Source organism: Homo sapiens, chromosome 17, assembly GCF_000001405.40.
Source record: "Homo sapiens chromosome 17, GRCh38.p14 Primary Assembly".
Lineage (NCBI taxonomy): Eukaryota > Metazoa > Chordata > Mammalia > Primates > Hominidae > Homo > Homo sapiens.
The window spans coordinates 37,066,222-37,087,937 of record NC_000017.11 but is presented as its reverse complement, the minus strand read 5'-3'; the positions used below and the strand labels follow the sequence as shown (position 1 = coordinate 37,087,937).

Below are 21,716 nucleotides of genomic sequence, written 5' to 3'. Positions count from 1 at the left end.
ATGCAAGTATCTTGCTTTCATCAAAATTTCCCTCTGGTGCAGTCTTTACGATGAGCTTGCAAAATGATAACTTTCCAACTCCAGCACACCCTCCACAATTACCAGTCACCACTCAGTCCTCACTCCTGCCGATTCTTTTATATATACATTATTGGTACAGACTCATGAAGTTCTATTTTTTACTGATTTATAATTCATTGCTGGGCTGCTTTTGATGCCCCAATTGCTGTCTTTGTGACATGCCCCCATTGGCATGTTTTGGGTTTTTTTTGGGTTTTGTTTTGGGTTTAATTCCTTTTTCAACATAGCAAAATGTTTTGGGTTTGTCTTGCACTACCTTGGCTGGATATTTGTAATATAGGGAAACAAATAAGGTGAGGCGTGACTAAAATGTCTGCAGTGGACGGTGCACACATGTTTATTGGGCAGTTCTTTAGCTGTCCTCATCTAGACACTTCTGCTTCTCTTTTCTTCACCATTCTCAATCTTCCTTTCCAGCTTGGTCCAGGCCAATCCAGAGGTTGCCATGGATTCCATCATCCATATGACGCAGCACATATCACCCACTCAGCGAGCAGAAGTCATACGGATCCTCTCCACAATGGATTCCCCTTCCACGTAGGAAGAGCTTCCTGCCTGTCCCTGCCCTGTCTCTGGAGAAAAGGGCTAGAGCTGCCTTTTACAACTGTAACCACTGTAATGAGAAGGCACAGGAGACCCAGCACTGGAGTCAAATGGCATTTTACTTCCTCTCGTTTCAGGTTATGCATGACATCCTGGGATGTAAGATCACAGAATCCCCCTCCAGCCCACCAGTCACACCTACCCCATTCAGTATTTATTACCCTGGCCAGGCCTAGTCCTCCACTCCCTGCACAGGACTGAGAAGGCAATGAAAGGTACAAACATGTACCATGAGGTCTTACTAACCAAAGTAGGGCTGCCCCTCCTGTCCTGACAGCCCCTTGGCCTCCCAGCATGGGGAAGCGTGAGGAGTTGCCCAGCAGTGAGCAGCCCCCCTCACTCCTGGCCCCATGAGCCGCAGCCACAGGCAGCAGAGGAGGGCTAAGGAGAGGAGGAAGCCTCAAGTCCATTGTTTATTACCCCGACTCTTAGCCCAGCACACAGTAGGCACTGGAGAGGAATGATTCCCAGTTTAACCACACTACGGTACCTTTTATGAAGAAAAATTAGAGCATAAAATCTACTACAAGCTCCATAGGAACTCAAAGATGAGGGCAAAACTGTGAGCCAAGAAGCAGAGAAAGAAAATAGAACCAGTTATTCTTGATTTAGGGGACCTCAACCTTGGGTTCAGTCTCTGAGGACAAAGGGAAAGGTAGTTGTTGGCCTGCCTCTCGCCTGCACGTCACTGCTGGACTAGCTGTCGCATGTGGCTGGGAGCTGCAAGGCCAGTGCTTGAGGGGCCCCAGCAGTTCCACAGGTGGTGAAGCCTGAGTTGGCAGAGGAGGAGCCAGAAGAGAACTGCCCTTTCTGCACTGGTGGAAACTAGTTATTTATGCCATGTGGAGAGCCAGTGAGATAGATAGATAGTCTGTTTGTTTTGAGGACTTGGAAAGTTGTTCCTATGAAGCCTGGAGCTTGGATGGTTTTGAGAGGTTAATGGTGCCTCCACACTCACTCTTCCCTAGTTCCAGGATTACTGTCCTAGCAGCTAACGGTTCTACTCTCTTCCCCAGAGTGTAGACAGGCAGCAGGTCTCCCCACAGCTCTGAAAGGACCCTGGTGACAGCTACACCCTCAGCACCAGGAGCTGGCCTTCCTGATGAGGGAGGCTTCCAGGAAACACAGAATCCACATGACCTTAAGATTATTTACAACTCAGTCATGGTGCTGCTGTCCTCCAGGCTTACTGGCCCCTCCTGACTGGCATCAGGGGCTTCCTCAGGTGGTGGAGAGAGTTTACTTTCAACAACTAGTTTATTCAAGAAAAGAACTTACTGATTCCTCTGTTCCTAAAGCAAGAGTGGCAGGTGATCAGGGCTGGTGTAGCATCCGGTTCCTTTAGTGCAGCTAACTGCATTTGTCACTGATGACCAAGGAGGAAATCACTAAGACATTTGAGAAGCAGTGGTATGAACGTTCTTGGACAAGCCACAGTTCTGAGCCTTAACCCTGTAGTTTGCACACAAGAACGAGCTCCACCTCCCCTTCTTCAGGAGGAATCTGTGCGGATAGATTGGCTGGACTTTTCAATGGTTCTGGGTTGCAGGTGGGCACTGTATGGCTGGGTATGGAGCGGACAGCCCCCAGGAGTCAGAGCCTCAGCCCGGCTGCCCTGGTGGAAGGTACAGGTGTTCAGCACCTTCAGAAAAGGGCATAAAGTGGTGGGGGACAATTCTCAGTCCAGGAAAATGCATTGACCATTGCTGGCTATTTGCTTACCTAGTAAGAATTGGATTCATTTTTGACCAGATTATTCTTCTATGCTTTTTTGCAATAAATCAAATCCCACATATCTACAAGTGGTATGAAGTCCTGCACCCCCCAGGAGGCCTGTCCAGGCATGTCTTCAGAGGCAGGGTGGGTTACACTCATTTACCTCCCCTCTCCCCACCAAATTATGACACAAACGAGTATGTTTCCTCTCTAGAACCCTGTAATGCCTCCTCCCCCATCCCCAGAGCTCCTTACTGTAGGTCTTACCCTGGACAAGGATTTTTTCAAGTTGGAGGCACAGAACATGAGCAATCTGACATTCCCACAGCCCCTCAAACATGCAAGGCTACTAAGGCAGGAGGAGTATAAATGATGGATATTGACCAAGACCTGCTTGGACGGAGACCGCCATATTATCTGTTCTCTTCGTTCACAAAACAGCCTTCACTTGTCTCAGAATTTGATGGACACATACTGTGATGAGCAGGAGCTTCAGATGCACTCTTTACACATTTTGTTGAAATAAACCTCTACATTTGTAGAAGAGTTACAGTTTGTCATTTCAATCCATGCCCAGCCACCTCATTTCTTGTTCTGCTTTCAGCAGGGGCTCAGTGTGGGGCAAGCCCCTCCATGGCCCTGTAACACCTAAAGCCCTTTGTCTCCTGAACTTGCATAAAGATGATGGGTAGGCAGTAAAAAGCTGGCCTTGGCCAGCCCTGTCTTATCCGCTGAATCAAGGTCAAACTCTGAAAGGCTACAAATGCTCGGGAACCCCGTAGCAGAGGGTCAGTTTTTTAGTTTCTGTTGAGTTTTTCAGGATGGGAAACTTCTTCCTGCTGAGAGCTGGATGGGAGTCCTGGCAGGAATGTCCCCTCCAAAAGAGAATGTCTTTAGAGCAGGGACAAGAAAGACCACAGCTGTTTAGTGAGGATAACAGCTCCAGGCCTTGGAAGCCCAGAGCCCACTGTCCTCCTCAGAAGTCCCTTCTCAGCATACAGGAAGTTGAGAGTGCTCTGATAACTCAGTGTAAACACTGGGGCCGCATGGCCCTTGTTAGAGATTTGAGAGGAAGGTTTTAGATTTTCTTTCTTTAGCTATTCATGGATTTTTAACTCTGGGCACAAAAAGGCACTCGGGGCAGGAAGCTCATGATTCCATGCCGTCAACCCTCTGCCTCAGTTTCTCTCTCTAAAAAAACTTTCTATGGGCTGGGCATGGTAACTCACCCCTATAATCCTAGCACTTTGGGAGGCTGAGGTGGGTGTATCATGAGATCAGGAGATTGAGACCATCCTGGCTAACACGGTGAAACCCCCTAAAAATATATAAAAAATTAGGTGGGAGCAGTGGCACACACCTGTAGTCCCAGCTACTCAGGAGGCTGAGGCAGGAGAATTGCTTGAACCTGGGAGGCGGAGGTTGCAGTGAGCTGAGATTGCACCACTGCACTCTAGCCTGGTGACAGAGCAAGACTCCGTCTCAAAAAAAAAAAAAAAAAAAAGCTTTCTATGAATCCCTATAATTAAGGCAGGAATAAGCACCAATTCCTGAATGTCTGCAAAGATACAGGTCACAGGAGGCAAATCCCTGCCCTTTGCTGATTATTAAACTCAATGTTGTATCTGTCTCTCTCTTTGGGATATATTGCAAAGCAAAGGGTTGCTTTTTCTAAAATGAAATAGAGTGTTAAGAAAATATCAATTTGATTCACCCTGAGCCAGATGTTCCAGAAAGGGGAGTCAGAAGGGAGATACAGGATAAAGGATCCAGGGGGAAGATTGCTACTGTTTGCCTCCCACTGCTGCTCTTCACAGGCAAGGAAGCCCGGTCTGCGTGGCGGCCTGGGCCTCTTCTTCCTTCTTCCCTCCTCCCTAAGCAGGCAGCTGAAGACAGGCCACAGGTGTAAGCACTCAGCCAGCACCTGTTGGTGGTTCTGAGGCAGGATTCCGCTGCTGCCTCTGGGAGCTTGCCCGATACAGTTTCTTCTGCTGGGGCGCCACACTTCCTTCACTCCTCTTTTCAACAAAAGGAAATAATAAATCCCCATTGGTCTTACTTTGGGGTAGTAAGGAAAAGACTGCACAGTGAGGGTTCTAGGATCCAGATCTAGGCCCACCTCTCTTTCCCCGGCTGAACAATAACACAGCGATGAACGCAAATGCCTAAGGACCATAGGGAGGGCTGTTCACCCCTAGTAAACAGGGCTCGGTGCAGGGCAGCAGGGAAAGGCCTGTAGGGAGGCACTGAGCTGAAAGGCAAACCTTCCTTCAAACCACTGGCTCCTCAGGCCCTGGGCACAAGAAGGGTAACACCTGGGCCTGCCCTGTTCCACATGGTGAGGCAGAAAGCACCATGGGCCAGAGGGAGTGGTATGGACAAATGAAGCTTATTGGCAGAGAGAGGCTACCAGCTGCGGCAGGGTGGAAGCCAGGGCATTCCAGGCCGGGGCACTGGGATTTACAAAGTTATTTGGGGGGCACTGGGAAGGTTGAAGGGGAGTAGAGCAGTCACTTGGGGGAGTAATAGACAATGAACTCCCCAAAAACAAGCCGGCATCAGATATAAAGATCCTTAAATGCCAGGCCAAGGAGCAAGGGTTTGTCCTTTGGTGGTTTATGGGCACGTGAAAGCTGTGTATAAAGCTTTCGAAAGCAGCCAATTGAATGAAAAGAGCACAGTCTTGAGTGCCAAGAAAACTGGGTCCAAGCTCAGCTTAATCGTGTGCAGTCCCCAAGCTGGAGGGGCACCCAGGATAGTATGCCCGGGCCACCCACAGGAGTGGGGAACAATCGGCTATTTCCAGTGCTCTAGGAATCCTGCTGTGCCTCAGGCAGCAGTCTTTCCATGCCGTTGTCTTTGTGTTGACTGGAGTTTTACCCAGGAAGTGCAGTCCTGGTCACCTCCTGCTGGCCAGTGGCTCTAATGGGTGTTGATAATAAGTGATGGGGGTAGGACATCTTTAGAAATGCAGTATCTTGGTAATAAGCAACATCTTCCAAAGCATGGGGTTTCCTGTGGTTGGTGGAGGGCAGAATGATAACGGAGCCTGAGACTTGGAGCCACACAGTGGGCTCAGCCCACTAGGAACCGCACGGAGACAGGACAGAATAGCTCAGATGGCGCTGAGTCTGATTGCCAACATTCTGTGTCATGACTGGCCTTCTAGAGTAATCAGGGAGGGCTGGGGGTGGGAAGAGGCAGAACCCACTGTACAAGTCCAGGCTCTGCAGCAGGAAAAAGCTCACAGAGCATTCCTGTCCATGCAAATAGCTCCTTTCATAGTCACTTACAAGAACAGGGACTTTAGAATAAGCCTGAGCTGATTTCCAGTATCCAGCCCCTCACTCTTGTCCTTGAGCAAGTTCCTGCCTCCTCATCTGTGAAATGTGGACCTCAATGGGGCATTTTGAAAAATGACATTAAATTAGTTGATGTGAATCAAGTGCAGGGCATGAGCCGCAAACCCTCAATGCAGGTCAGGTTTCTCCATGCCCTGTCTCTTTTGCTCCCAAGACTGGGCGCCTGTCATCACTCAGGGGCACCTTCCTCATAGGGTATTGGTGGAGAACCGTCCCCTGGCGAGGGCAGGGTCTAGGGATTGTCTCTACGTGTTGGGTGACATGGACACTAAGCGGAAGTGCCACTGAGGGGCTGTGCAGCTGAGCCTGAAGGCCGATCTCTAAGCCTGGCTGCCCTCACTTAGGGCAGGCCTTGAGCAGCTCAAGGGTGTTCTGGAGTCCTGCCTTCCCTGGGATGTGAAAGTAGAGTGTGGAACGAGAAGATCCCTAAGATCCCTTCCAGCTCTAGGCAGATTTTCATCTGGGATCATGGGTAATGCTGAAGTCTGGATAAAAATACTCCATGCCCACTGGCATTGTCAGTAACAGCAGTAACTCAGCAGCAAACATCCAGGGAAGACCAGTGGCTCAGCTTGGCTCAAGCAATAGACCAGCAGCCTAGCTAGAGCTTTAACAGAAGCAGGAAATGATACAGCCACCAGGGGCTTGATAAGCTCCCCGCACATCCACACAGGAGAGATCAGAGAAGGCCCAAGCTAGTCACACAGCCCTAGCTGATAGAACCTGTGGGCACATGAAGAGGAAATGCCAGAGGGCCCAGTAGAAAGTAAAAGCCAGGGCAGATTTCAAAACTGCTGAAATGTTTTAATATGTAGCCCCCACGCGCGCGTGCATACACACACACACACACACCAACTTATCAGCAGAAGATAGATGCCTTGCTGGCTCAAGATACATCTGCCTAAAGCATTGGCTGACCATTAGGCACAAGGGTGGCCCCTATGAAGCTAGGCTTAAAAAATAAGAAGTTTTAAAAAGAAAAACTGAGCAGAGGCTCGGTGTGGTGGCTCAATTCCTGCACTTGGGGAGGCTGAGGCGGGTGGATCACTTGAGGTCAGGAGTTTGAGACCAGCCTGGCCAACATGGTGAAACCGTCTCTACTAAAAATAAATTAGCTGGGTGTGGTGGTGTGCGCCTGTAATCCCAGCTGCTTGGGAGGCTAAGGCAGGAGAATCGCTTGAACCCGGGAGGTAGAGGTTGCAGTGAGCCAAGATCGTGCCACTGCACTCCAGCCTGGGTGACAGAATGAGATTCTGTCTCAAAAAACAAACAAATAAAAACAACTGGGCAGAAACTTAAACACACATACACACACACACATTTACAGAATTAAAGGGTCAGGTAGGACAACCTTGGGCCCTTATTTAAAAAAAAAAAAAAAAAAAAAGAATTGGCCAGGCATGGTGGCTCACACCTATGATCCCCAGCAATTTGGGAGGCCAGGGTGGGCGGTTCGCTTGAGTCCAAGAGTTTAAGACCAGCCTGGACAACATGACAAAACTCCATCTCTACAAAAAATGCAAAAAAAAAAAAAAACTAGCCAGGTGTGGTGGCACACGCTTGTCGTCCCAGCAACTTGGGAGGCTGAGGTGGAAGGATGACCTGAGCCCAGGCAGGTAGAGGCTGCAGTGAACCATGATCACGCCACTGCACTCCAACCTGGGTGACAGAGCAAGACCCTGTCTCAAAACAAAACATAAAAAAGCACATTCTGAATAAAATTCTGAAACATGCTGCAACATGGATGAACTGTGAAGACATTATGCTAAGTGAAATAAGCCAGACACAAAAACAGATATTGTTTGATTCCACTTATATGTGGTATCTGAAATTATCAAATTCACAGAGACAGAAAATAAAACAGTGATTACCAGGGGTTGTGGGGAGAGGAATTTGGGGATTACTGTTTTCGTTTTTAGAGACAGGGTCTCGCTCTATTGCCCAGGCTGGAGTACAGTGGTATGATCATAGCTCACTACAGCCTCAAACTCCTGGGCTCAAGCAGTCCTCCCACCTCAGCCTCCTGAATAGCTGGGACTACAGGTGCAAGCCACTATACCCAGCTAATTTAAAAAAAAATTTTTTTTTTTTTTTTTTTTTTGTAGAGACAGGGCCTCACTGTGTTGCCCAAGCTGATCTTGAACTCCTGGGCTCAAGCGATCTTCCTTCTTCAGCCTCCCAAAGCACTGGAATTATAGGCATGAGCCACTGTAGCAGCTGGGAGTTATTGTTGTTGAATGAGTACAGAGTTTCAGTATGGGATGATGAAATGTTCTGGAGGTGGATGGTGGTGATGGTTGCACAACAATGTGAATGTCCTTAATGTCACTGAACTATACACTTAGAAACTGTTAAAATGGTAAATCATATATTTATCCCAGTTTTTGAAAAGGAAATTCTGAAAAGTTGACCAGAGGGACTACACAGATTTGGGAAGACAGAAGAATCAGTGCATGTGAAATCGTAGAGTAATAGAATTATCCAATGTGAAGAACAGAGAGGAAAAAAGAGTGAAAAATGAATAGACCCTCAGACTCCTGTGCAGCAACAGTGCGTTTACCAACATATGTGTACTGGGGGTGCCAGAAGAGAGAGAAATGGAAAAACTATCTGAAGAAATAGTGGCCGAAAAATTCCCAAATTTGATGGAAAACATGAATCTGCAGATCCAAGAAGCTCAATAAACCCCAAGTAGGATAAACAAAGATACTTACACCTAGATACCTCATGGCCAAACTGTTGAAAGACAAAGAAAAATCTTAAAGGAAGCTAGAGAAGAACAAGTTATCACTTACAGAAGAATAACAAAATAAATCACAGCTGCCTTCTAATCAGAAACAATGGACCCCAGGAGGCAGTGGGGCAGTATTGTCAGAGTGCCACAAGAAGAAAAAAAATGCTGTCAAACAAGAATCCTATATCCAGCAACACTGTCCTTAAAACAAGTACAGGTGAAATAAAGACACTCCACAAAAAAAGAGAATTCATTGTTAGCAGACCAGCTTTATAAGAAATACTAAAAGCAATAGTTGAGGCTGAAAAGAAATAATTCCAGATAGTAATTCAAATCTACTCAAAGAAATGAAAAGGTAAACAGTACCTAGGTAAATATAAAAAACTGTGTTCTCTTTAACTTCATTAAAAGACATAAAGTTGCATTAAACAATAAGTATACCACTGTATTTTGGGGTTTATAGCATATAGAACCGTAATATGTATGACAGTCACACAAAGAAGGGGGTAAAAATGAAACAACATGAAAACCAAGTCTATGTGTTGCCAGTATTAAGGTAATATTAATCTCAAGTATAGTGTTATATAACCTCTAGAACAACCACTAAGAAAGTAACTTTATTTATTTAGAGATGGAGTCTTGCTCTGTCATCCAGACTGGAGTGCAATGATGCAATCTCGGCTCATTGCAACCTCCGCGTCCCGGGTTCAAGCAGTTCTCCTGCCTCAGCCTCCTGAGTAGCTGGGATTATAGGCGCCCACCACCATGCCCGGCTAATTTTTGTATTTTTGGTAGAGACAGGGTCTCACCATGTTGGCCAGGCTGCTCTCAAACTCCTGACCTCAGGTGATGCACCTGCCTCGGCCTCCCAAAGTGCTGGGATTAGAGGCATGAGCCACCGCACCCAGCTGAAAATAACTTTAAAATGCATAGTAAGGCTGGCAGCAGTGGCTCACACCTCTAATCCCAGCACTTTGGGAGGCTGAGGTGGGAGGATCACATGAGTCCAGGAGTTTGAGACCAGGCTGGGCAATACAGTGAGACACTATCTCTACAAAAAATTTTTTTAAAATTGGCCAGGCATGGTGGCACATGCCTCTAGTTCCAGCTACTTGAGAGGCTGAGGCAGGAGGAGCACTGGCTCAGGAGGTTGAGGTTGCAGTGAGCTGAGATCGCACCACCGCACTCTAGCCTGGGCAACAGAGCAAGACCCTGTCTCAACAACAAAAGGCAAAGGGCTTAAACCCATTTTTTCAAAGATGATTTATGAATGGTCAAGAAGCATATAAAAACATGCTCAGCATCATTAATTGTTGGGGAAATGTATATTAAAACCGCAACGACACAACACTTCATACCCATTAGGACGTCTGCTATAAAAAACAAACAGAAAATAACATGTTGCAGACGATGTGGAAAAATTAGAACCCTTGTGCACTGTTGGCAGGAATAGAAAATGGTGTAGCTGCTATGCAAAAATGGTTCCTCAAAAAATTAAAAGTAGGGCCGGGTGTGGTGGCTCACACCTGTAATCCCAACACTTTGAGAGGCTAAGGTGCCCAGGAGTTCGAGACCAGCTTGGGCAACACAGTGAGACCCTCATCTGTATAAAAAATTAAAAAATAAAAAATTAGCTGGGTGATGGCACGTGGCTGTAGTCCCAGCTACTTGGGCAGCTGAGGTGAGAGGACTGCTTGAGTCTGGGCAACACAGCGAGACTGCCTCAAAAAAAAACAAAAACGAAACGAAAATGAAAAATAGGAGGCTGAGGTGGGAGGACTGCTTAAGCCCAGGAGTTTGAAGTTGCAGTGAGCTATGATCAAGCCACTACGCTCTAGCCTGGGCAACAGAGTGAGACCCTGTCTCAAAAAAAAAAAAAAAAAAAAAAAAAAAAGCACTACGTATGATCAAGCAATCTCACTTCTGGGCAGATATCCAAAAGAATTGAAAGCAGGGCCTTGAATATATATTTGCACACCCATGTTCACAGCAGCATTATTCACAATAGCCAAGAGGTGAAAGCCACCCAAATGTCCATCAAAGAATAAATTGATAAACAAAATGTGGTCTATACTTACAATGGAATATTACAACGGCCTTAAAAAGGAAAGCAATCCAATCACATGCTAGAACAGGAATAAACCTTGAGGACATTCTGTTAAGTGGAATAAGCCAGTTGCAAAAAGACAAATACTGTAGGATTCCACTTATATGAGGTATTTAAAGTAGTCGAATTTTGCTGGGTGCAGTGGCTCATGCCTGTAATCCCAGCACTTTGGGAGGCCAAGGTGGGTGGATCACTTGTGGTCAAGAGATTGAGACCAGCCTGGCCAACATGGTGAAACCCCATCTCTACTAAAAATACAAATGTTAGCTGAGCATGGTGGTGCATGCCTGTAATCCCAGCTACTCGGGAAGCTGAGGCAGGAGAATCGCTTGAACCCGGGACGTGGAGGTTGCAGTGAGCCGAGATCGCATCACCGCACTCCAGTCTGGTGACAGAAACTCTGTCTCAAAAAAATAAATAAATAAAAAATAAAGTAGTCAAATTCATAGAAACTGAAAGAATGGTGGTTGCCAGGGGTCGGAGTGAGGGGTAAACTGGGAATTGTTAAATGGGTATAAAGTTTCAGTTTTGTGGGGTAAGAATTTCTGGAAATCTGTTGCAGGACAATGTAAATATACTTAACACTATTGCATTGTACACTTAAACATGGTTAAGATGGTAAGTTTTATGTTTTCTTAGCCACAATTTAACATGTATGTATGTAAATATATATATATTAAAAACAACACTGGGGCTGGGTGTGGTGGCACACATCTGTAACCCCAGCATTCTTGAAGCCAGAAGTTTGAGACCAGCCTGAGCAACAAAGTGAGACCCAGTCTCCAGAAAAATTAAAAAAAAAAAAATAGCCAGGCGTGGTGGCATACACCTGTAGTCCCAGCTACTCAGGAGGATCTCTTGAGCCCAGGAGTTCAAGGCTGCAGTGAGCTGTAATCGCATCACTGCTCTCCAGCCTGCAGGATAGGGTAAGACCTTGTCTCTAAAAAACACAAAAGCAAGCAGTAAAGGAAAAACAAATGAACCTTATTAATAATTACATTAAATTTGAAAGGACTAAACACTCCAATCAAAAGATAGACTGTCAGATTAGGTGAAAAAATCTAGGCTGGGTGTGGTGGCTCTTGCCTGTAATCCCAGCACTTTGGGAGGCTGAGACAGGCAGATTGCTTGAGTCCAGGAGTTTGAGACCAGCCTGGGCAACATAGGGAGACCTCGTCTCTGCAAAAAATTAAAATACAAAAAATTAGCCAGGCATGGTGGCATGCACCTGTAGTCCCAGCTACTCGGGAGGCTGAGGAGGGACAATCACCCAAGCCCTGGAGGCTGAGGCTGCAGTGAGCCTAAATCACACCACTGCACTCTAGCCTGAGTGACAGAGTGAGACCCTGTCTCAAAAATAATAATTAAAATTTTAAAAAAACAAACAAAATGCCTGTTACTCCTGCCTCAGCCTCCCGAGTAGCTGGAACTACAGGTGTGTACCACCATACCTGGCTAATTTTTTTAATTTTGTGGAGGCTGGGTCTTAAGTCTTTAAGAAAAACACTTTAGATTCAAAGACACAAGTGGGTAAAGGTATAAAAACACCATCTACTATGCAAACAGTAACCATAAGGGTTGGAGTGGCTACATTAATATCAATATCAATATCTATATCTATCTATATGTATATATATAATGTCATTAGAGACAAAAATAAACATTTATTATGCTAAAAGAATCAGTTTGTCAGGAAGCTATAACAATTATAAATGTATACATGTTTAACAACAGAGCCCCAAAATACAGAAAGCAAAAATTGACAGAATAAAAAGGAGAAATAGACAACAGGTCTGGATCTGGATCAATAAACTTCCACCCCAAAAAAACAGAGAAGAAAAAAGAGGAGAATAAACTAAACCCAAAGCAAGAAGAATAAGGGAAAACATAAAGGTCAGAGTGGAAACTAGTGAAAGAGAAAACAGTAAACAACAGAGAAAAGTCAATAGAAACTTAAAGTTAGCTCTTTGAAAAAAATCAGGCTGGGCCCAGTGGCTCACACTTGTAATCCCAGCACTTTGGGAGGCCGAGGTGGGTGGATCACGAGGTCAAGAGATCGAGACCATCCTGGCCAACATGGTGAAACCCCGTCTCTACTAAAAATAGAAAAATTAGCTAGGCATGTTGGTGGGCGCCTGTAATCCCAGCTACTCGGGAGGCTAAGGCAGGAGAATCACTTGAACCCGGGAGGCGGAGGTTGCAATGAGCCGAGATCGCACCACTGTATTCCATCCAGCCTGGGGACAGAGTAAGACTCCATCTAAAAAAAAAAAAAAAAGAAAAGAAAAGAAAAAAACAATAAAATTGACAAGAAGAAAAAGAGAAACAACACAAATTTCCAAAATCAGGAATCAAAGAGGGGACATTGCTAGTGGCTCTACCAAAATTAAGATTATAAAGAAATATTATGAGCAACTTTATGCCAAGAAATTAGACTTAGGTAAAATGAACACATTCCTAGAAAGACCCAAATTTACCAAAACTGACTTGAGAAGAAACACACAATCCAAATAGACCTATAACAAATAAAGAAATTAGTCACTAAAAATCCTCCCACAGGCCAGGCACGGTGGTTCACACCTGTAATCCCAGCACATTGGGAGGCTGAGGTGGGGGAATCACCTGAGGTCAGGAGTTCAAGACCAGCCTGGCCAACATGGTGAATCCCCGTCTCTGCTAAAAATACAAAAATTAGCCAGGTGTGTTGGTGCACAACAGTAATCCCAGTTACTTGGGAGGCTCAGGCGGGAGAATGGCTTAAACCCGGGAGGCAGAGGTTGTGATGAGCCGAGATCATGCCACTGCAATCCAGCCTGGGCAAGAAAGTGAGACTCAGTCTTAAAAAAAAAAAAAAAATTCCCACAAAGTAAAGCCCCAGTCCCAGAAAGCTTCACTGGTAAATGCTCTGTCAAATATTTAAAGAAGAAATAACAGCCAGGTGCAGTGGCTCACGCCTGTAATCCCAGCACTTTGGGAGGCCAAGGAGGGCGGATCACGAGGTTAGGAGTTCGAGACCAGCCTGGCCAACAAGGGGAAACCCTGTCTCTACAAAAAATACAAAAATTAGCCGGGTGTGGTGGTGGGTGCCTGTAATCCCAGCTACTTGGGAGACTGAGGCAGGAGAATTGCTTGAACCCGGGAGGTGGAGGTTGTAGTGAGCTGAGATCACGCCACTGCACTCCAGCCTGGGTGACAGAGCAAGACTTCATCTTGAAAAAAAAAAAAAAAAAAAAGAAATAATACTGGTCCTTCTCAAACTCTCTTAGAAAACAGAAGGAACACTTTCCAACTCATTCTACAAGGCCAGTATTATCTGATACCAAAGCCAAAGACATCACAAGAAAACTACAGGCCAGTATCCCTTGTGAACACAGGATGCAAAAATCCTTAGCAAATATTAACTAACTGGGCCAGGTACAGTGGCGTGCATGTAGTCCCAGCTATTTGGGCAGCTGAGGCAGGAGGACTGTTTGAGCCCAGGATTTTGAGGCTGTAGTATGCCATGAGCATATCCTTAAATAGCCACTGCACCCCAGCCTGGGCAACGTGGCAAGACTCCATCTCTTTAAAAAAAGAATTAGCAAACTGAATACAGCAAGACACACCCACACTTTTTTTTTTTTTTTTTTGAGATGAGGTTCTCACTCTGTCATCCAGGCTGGAGTGCAGTGGCATGATCACAGCTCACTGCAACCTCCACCCCCAGGTTCAAACAATCCTCCCACTTAAGCCTCCCACCATCTGGGTGCGCACCACCACACCCAGCTAATTTTTGTATTTTTCAGTAGATATGGGGTTTCACCATGTTGGTCAGGCTGGTCTCGAACTCCTGACCTCAAGTGATCCACCCATCTTGGCCTCTCAAAGTGCTGGGATTATAGGCGTGAGCCACTGTGCCTATCCTAGCAATATATAAGTATATAAGTATATATATATTTATATTATATATAAATTTTATTTCTTCTAAAAAAAAAAAACAGGATACGTGTGCAGAATGTGCAGGTTTGTTACATAGGTATACCTGTGCCATGGTGGTTTGCTGCACCTATTGACCTGCCCTCTAAATTCCCTCCTCTCGACCCCCTCCACCTCCCAGCAGGCCCTGGTGTGTGTCGTTCCCCTGGGTCCATGTGTTCTCATTGTTCAACTCCCACTTATGAGTGAGAACATGTGGTGTTTGATTTCCTGTTCCTGGGTTAGTTTGCTGAGGATGATGGTTTCCAGCTTCATCCACGTCCCTGCAAAGGACATAATCTCATTCCTTCTTATGGCTGCATAGTATTCCATGCAACATTTTTTGTTTTTTAGTTTCACAACTTTAATCCCAGCACTATGGGAGGCTGAGGAGGGAGGATTGCTCAAGCCCAGGACTTCGAGACCAGCCTGGGCAACATAGTGAGACCCTGTCTCTACAAAAAAAATTGTAAAAAGTAGCCAGGTGTGGGCCAGGCATGATGGCTCATGCCTGTAATTCCAGCATTTTGGGAGGCCCAGGCAGGCAGAACACATGAGGCTAGGAGTTTGAGACCAGAGGGGCCAATATGTTGAAACCCTGTCTCTACCAAAAAATACAAAAATTAGCTGGGCGTGGAGCCACATGCCCGTAGTCTCAGCTACTTGGGAGACTGAAGCAGGAGAATCACTTGAACCTGGGAGGCAGAGGTTGCAGTGAGCCAAGATCATGCCACCACACTCCAGCCTGGGCAACAGAGCAAGACTGTCTCAAAAAAAAAAAAAGAAAAGAAAATTAGCCAGGTGTGGTGGCACACACATGTGGTCCTAGCTACCCAAGAGGCTAAGGTGGGAGGATCGCTTGAGCTCGGGAAGTTGAGGCTGCAGTGAGCCATGATCGCACCACTGCATTCCACCCAAGAGACCCTGTCTCAAAAGAAAAAAAAGTATTCACCATAGCTAGGTGGGATTTGTCCCATGAGTACAAAGTTAGTTTAACACCCAGAAATCAATTAATGTAGCACACCATCTTAATAGAGTAAAAGACAAAAACCACATGACCCTCTCGGTAGACACATAAAAAGCATTTGGAAATACAATACCCATTCCAGATAAAAATTATCAACAAACTATCAATAGAAAGAAATCTCCGCCGGGCGCAGTGCTCATGCCTGTAATCCCAGCACTTTGAGAGGCCGAGGCGGGTGGATCAGTTGAGGTCAGGAGTTTGAAACCAGCCTGGCCAACATGGCAAAACCCCGTCTCTACTAAAAGTAAATACAAAAAAATTAGCCGGGTGTGGTGGCACGTGCCTGTAATGCCAGCTGCTTGAGAGGCAGAGGCAGGAGAATTGCTTGAACCTGGGAGGCAGAGGTTGCGGTGAGCGGAGATTGTGCCACCACACTCCAGCCTGGGCGACGTGAGACACTGTCTCAAAAAAAATAGAAATAAATTTCCAAAACCTGAGAAAGGGCGTCTGTGAAAAACCTCAAGTAACTTCATGTTTGATGGTGAAAGACTGAATGCTTTTCTCTCTAAGATGGAACAAGGCAAAAATATCTGCTCTTGCTACTTCTCAGCATTGCACTGGAGGTGCTGGCCAATGCAATAGGCTACACGAAAATTAAAGGTTTATAGATTGGAAAGAAGAGATTAAAACTCATTATTCACAAATGGCATGATCCTATATGAGGAATCCATTTTTAAAAACTAGAACTAATAAATGCATTCAGCAAAGTCACTGGCTACAATATTAATTTAAAAACTCAATAATAGTATTTTTGTACACTAGCAAGAAGAAATCTAAAAATGAAATTAAAATAATTTCATTGACAATAGCATCAAAACCAATAAAATACATAGGAATAATTTTGCAAAAGAAATAGACATGTACCCTGAAATTATAAAACACTGCTGAGAGAAATTAAATAAAAACAATTGAAGAGATATTCCATGTTCATGGATTAGAAGACTCAATGTTGTTGGGATGGTAGTTCTCCCCAAATTGATCTATAGAGTCAGTGTAATCCCATCAAAATTCCAGCAGACATTTTTCTAGAGATTAACAAATTTAGGCCGGGAACAGTGGCTCATGCGTGTAATCCCAGCACTTTGAGAGTCTGAGGCGGGAGTATCACTTGAGCCCAGAAGTTCAGCATCAGCCTGGCCAAAATAAGGAGATCCTGTCTCTACAAAAAATAAAAAAAATTAGCTGGGTGTGGTGGCATGTGCCTGCAGTCCCAGCTACTCAGGAGGCTGAGGTGGGAGGATGGCTTGAGCTCAGGAGGTTGAGGTTGCAGTGAGCTGTGATTACACCACTGCACTCCAGCCTGGGTGAAAGAGAAAGATCCTGTCTCAGGCAGAAAAAAAAAAAAAAGAAGAAGAAGAAGGAAAAGCTAAATAAATTAACAAACGTATCCTAATTTTTTTTTTTTTTTTTTGAGATGGAGACTCACTCTGTCGCCCAGGCTGGAGTGCAGTGGTGCGATCTTGGCTCACTGCAACCTCTGCCTCCTGGGTTCAAGCAATTCTCCTGCCTCAGCCTCCTGAGTAGCTGGGACTACAGGCGCCTGCCACCACGCCCGGCTAATTTTTGTATTTTTTTAGTAGAGACGGGGTTTCACCGTGTTCGCCAGGCTGGTCTCGATCTCCTGACCTTGTGATCCAACCACCTTGGCCTCCCAAAGTGCTGGGATTACAGGCGTGAGCCACTGCGCCCGGCCATGTATCCTAAAATTTATATGGAAATGCAAAGGACCCAGAATACTCTAAACAATTTTGATAAAAATTTGGAAGACTTAAACTACCTGATTTTAAAATGTTCACAGATATAAACACAAGCAAATAGAATGGAATATAATTGACAGTCTTGAAATAAATCCTAGCATTTAGGGTCAATTGATTTTCCACAAAGGAGTCAAGACAATTCAATGGCGGAAAGGCTAGCCTTTTCAACAAATGGTGCCAAGACGTTCGGATATCCATACACAAAGTTATATTTTTAGACTCTTACACCATGGACAAAAATTTACCCCAAATATATTACAGACTTAAATATATAAGCTACAACTATAAAACATCCACAAGAAGACATGTAGGAGAAAATTTTTGTGACCTTGGATTTGGAAAAGATTTCTTAGATATGACATAATCCATAAAAGAAAAAAAGAAATTGATAAATTAGGCTTCATCAAAATTAAAACCTTTTGTGCTCCAGAAGACACCATTAAGAAAATGAAGACGGCCGGGTGCGGTGGCTCACGCCTGTAATCCCAGCTCTTTGGGAGGTCAAGGCGGGTGGATCACGAGATCAAGAGATCAAGACCATCCTGGCCAACATGGTGAAACCCGGTCTCTACTAAAAATACAAAATTAGTTGGGTGTGGTGGCGGAGGCCTGTAGTCCCAGCTACTTGGGACACTGAGGCAGGAGAATAGCTTGAACCCGGGAGGTGGAGACTGCAGTGAGCTGAGATCGTGCCACTGCACTCCAGCCTGGCAACAGAGCGAGACTCCATCTCAAAAAAAAAAAAAAAAAAAAAAAAAAAGAAAGAAAGAAAAAAGAAAATGAAGACAAGCCAGAGACTGGGAAAAAATATTTGCAGACCATATATCTGATAAGGGACTTGAATCCAGGATATATAAAGAATCCTTACAAGGCAACAAGGCAATTCAATTTAAATTAGGCCAAAAGATGTGAATAGATGTCTCACCAAAGAAGATGATACATGAATAATGAACACACGAGAAGATGTTCAACATCATTCGTCACTAGGGAAACAAATTAAAGCCACAATGGGAGTCCACTATTTGCCAGAAAGGCTATAATTGGAAGACAGACAATTACAAGTGTTGGCACGGATGTGGAGAAACCGGAGCCCGCACACTTTGCTGGTGTAAATATAAAGTGATACAGGTACTTTGGAAAACAGTTTAACAACTTCTGAAAAAGCTAAACATAAGCTTTCATTCTCAGCAATTCCATGCCTAGGTATCTGCCCAAGGGAAATGAAAACATCTTTCACAAAGGCTTGTGATTGCTCCTATCAGCTTCATATATAATCGCCCAAATCTGGAAACAATCCAAATGTTCATGAATAGGCACGTGGATAAACAAAATGTGGTATATCTACACAATGGAAGACTAGTCAGCAATCAAAAGGAATGTACTGATATATGCTACAATAAAGATATAAACACCTCATGCCAAGCGAAAGAAGCCAGACACAAACACTCCAGATTGTATGATTCTTTTTAAATGAAATGTTCAGAAAAGAAGGCAAATTACCTGGGGCTGGGAGCAGGGAGTTCCGGCAAAGCTAGAGGAACTTGTGGGGTGATAAGAATGTCCTAAACATGGGCCGTGTTAGTGGCAGCACAACTCCACAGATGTAGCAAAAACCATGGAATTGTACATTTACAACAGGTGAGTTTTATGGTATGTAAATTCTACCTCAATAACAACACTGTAGAAAAAAAATGGAGACTGGGCATGGTGGCTCATGCCTATAATCTCAGCACTTTGGGAGGCCAAAGCGGGTGGATCACCTGAGGTCAGGAGTTGGAGACCAGCCTGGGCAACATGGCAAAACTCTGTCTCTACTAAAAATACAAAAATTAGCTGGGCGTGGTGGCGTACACCTGTAATCCTGGCTTCTCAGGAGGTTGAGGCAGGAGAATCGCTTGAACTAGGGAGGTGGAGGTTGCAGTGAGCAGAAATCATACCACTGCACTCCAGCCTGGGTGACGGAGCGAGACTGTCTCAAATAATAACAACCACCACCATCACGGGGTAGAGGCTACACAGACCTTACCCCGCAGCCTGCCCTCCTGCCCTGCAGCTGTTTCCACAAACGCCTCCTCCTCCTTCCATCCCCAGCTGCTCTAGCTGCTTGCCAGTTTCTTTTCAGCTCCAGCCTGGCTGGTTCAATGGTCACCCTCCTATCTGTCCTCACACGGGACCCAGCCCCTCCTCAGGATCAGCAGCTGCGGCCATCAGCTGTCCTCGCCCAGCTCCTCCAGAACAGCTTGTTAAAAGGGATCCACCTGGGGCTGAGTTCCTCCAGTTGGTCCCGGTGAGCTCTCACGTAAGAGTAATGAAGTTTAAACTTCTCTTTAGCAGCTAAGCACGGAAATTGACCCTGGCACCTTGCTAAGCTAATCGAGTTACAAAACGAATCCTTTAGGATCAAATTCATTACAACAGCCGCATCTATGACCCATTTTATTATAACCTTTTCTCAAAATCTGCTCTGGTCCGCCACCCTCTGATCTTGCCCAACCAAGCCCTAGTTAGCCTGTGTCTGAGGACGCCTGGCGGGCCCGGCGGGATGCTGTGGAAGGTGAGGGCTTCCAGTCACCTGTAAGCAACCTCGGTCGTACGTGCCCAAGGCTCAACTCCTGCAATCTATTTCTGTGACCTCAGGTCCCAGCAGAGCTCTGATTTCAAGCCACAGCCCTGGCCCAGGCCCAGACTGTGTTTATGACTCAGCATCCAATAGGCATGTAAACAAGATTACATCACAGATTTTCCCTGGCCCATACCTCCCGGTCCAGACTCTGGCTGAAGAGGGACATTGGAGCTTGGCCCTCAAGGAGCTAGCTCCACAGAGTCACCGCCAGCCATGAGGGAACTTGTCACCTAGCCCTCCTCTCACCTGCACAGGCTCAAATCAACCAGGAGCAGGGCTCCCAATGGGTGAGCTTTATGCAAACACCCGGGGTGGGGTTCCTGGCCACCAACCTCTGCACGTGGTGCTGCCTGGAGGGAAGGTTCCGGGACTCTGGAATGGACTTCTGCCCAGTAGGAGTGGCGAACTTGTGGCTCTCACGGCTTTGCGTTATTTGTTACAGATACACCTCCACTACTTTACACACTATTAGAAAGTTGAGTACCCCAAATCACTTTTAGGCACATGCAGAAATGCAATTTTAGGAGGCAGAAACTACTCAACTCCAGCAATGCATCTAGACTCTACCCTAAAATATCTGCATATTAAACTACCAAGGACAGTTAAGCTTTCAAAGGGAGAAGATCAAAGTGCTGTCATCTTTTAATTTAATCCTTTTGTTGCATCAATGATCTTAAGAGGGATGAGAGAGATCAAAATAAAAATGGAAACAAACTGTATCTTTGTGGCTGTTGTGTTTTAGTCTTTTTTTTTTTTCTCAATTTGGGCCACAAAATAGGTCAGCTCCATTACTGATCAGCCTTCCCACAAATATTTAAAACAAATTGAATTGCATACCCAATACCCATCACAATTACACCAGGCACAATAACTAAATTAGCAATTCAACAAAATAATTGGAAATGCGATTCTCTCTATTCCACCAGTCTCCCTCGAGGGTTGAGCGGATCTATGGGGGAAAGCTCAGCTTTCCTAATTCTGCAGCTAATTAGAGACACACTTGTAAATGAAGTTGTTTGTCTTAAAGTTGAAATTCTCTTCTGGGGGTGGGGGAGAGGCAAGGAGAGATGAGAAAGTCCTTCCGCTCCGGAGCAAGTGTATATAAACAGGTATAAAAACCCGTGCCATACCTGCAATTAATAAAGCATCACTATTTTACCTTCACTTATCTGGTAATGGACGACTTTGGAAGAACCAGCCTGGTTGACAGCCTCGTAAGCGGCGCACATTTCTGATGGCACTTGCGACCAGTCACTGTGGGCTGCCGTTTTGGGAGGGGGCGGAAGTGCCAGGACAGCAGGAGCGGTCAGTGGTGGCCAGTGTGTGCTGCCGGCTCCCACGTGGCCCCCCTCGGTTTGGGACAGGAGAACCAAAGGCTCACCCTAAAAGGAAGCAAGGCAGAGAGAGGCTCCCCCGCCCAACAGACCCTCCCCTCCTGTGGACCGCCGTCAGCAGCCGAACGTGGGCCCCCCTGGCTCGGGCCACCCCACCAGCCAGAGTTGCAAATCTACCTCGGCCCACTTGCTCAGGCCACTCTTGGAGAAGCAATCCTGAGGTTTCAATTAGGCTGTCCTTGGCCTCTTTTTGTTCCTTCAGGAAGGAAAATCTCTGTTTAATTATATACCCAAGAACTAGGACTTAAAGCCGGCCCCTCTCATCCTTCTCCTGGAGGATGGAGACGTGATCCGAAAATGCAAACTCTCCCCAGGGCTCCAGAGGCTTGAGGAGCCTGTCACGGGGGCTTACTTCCCA

At 45.6% G+C, this 21,716-nt stretch overlaps 1 protein-coding gene across 25 annotated transcripts in view; it reads left to right on the top strand.

Annotated features, from left to right (window-relative positions):
* ACACA (acetyl-CoA carboxylase alpha) overlaps positions 1-2,946 on the top strand; it is a 321,845-nt gene extending 318,899 nt beyond the window's left edge. For all 25 annotated transcript variants that reach the window (XM_011524701.2, XM_006721853.2, NM_198834.3 and 22 more), the window contains one exon: positions 499-2,946. In XM_011524701.2, coding sequence (XP_011523003.1) covers positions 499-622 — 124 coding nt within the window. In that variant the 3' untranslated portion in view covers positions 623-2,946. The remainder of the gene's footprint in view (positions 1-498) is intronic.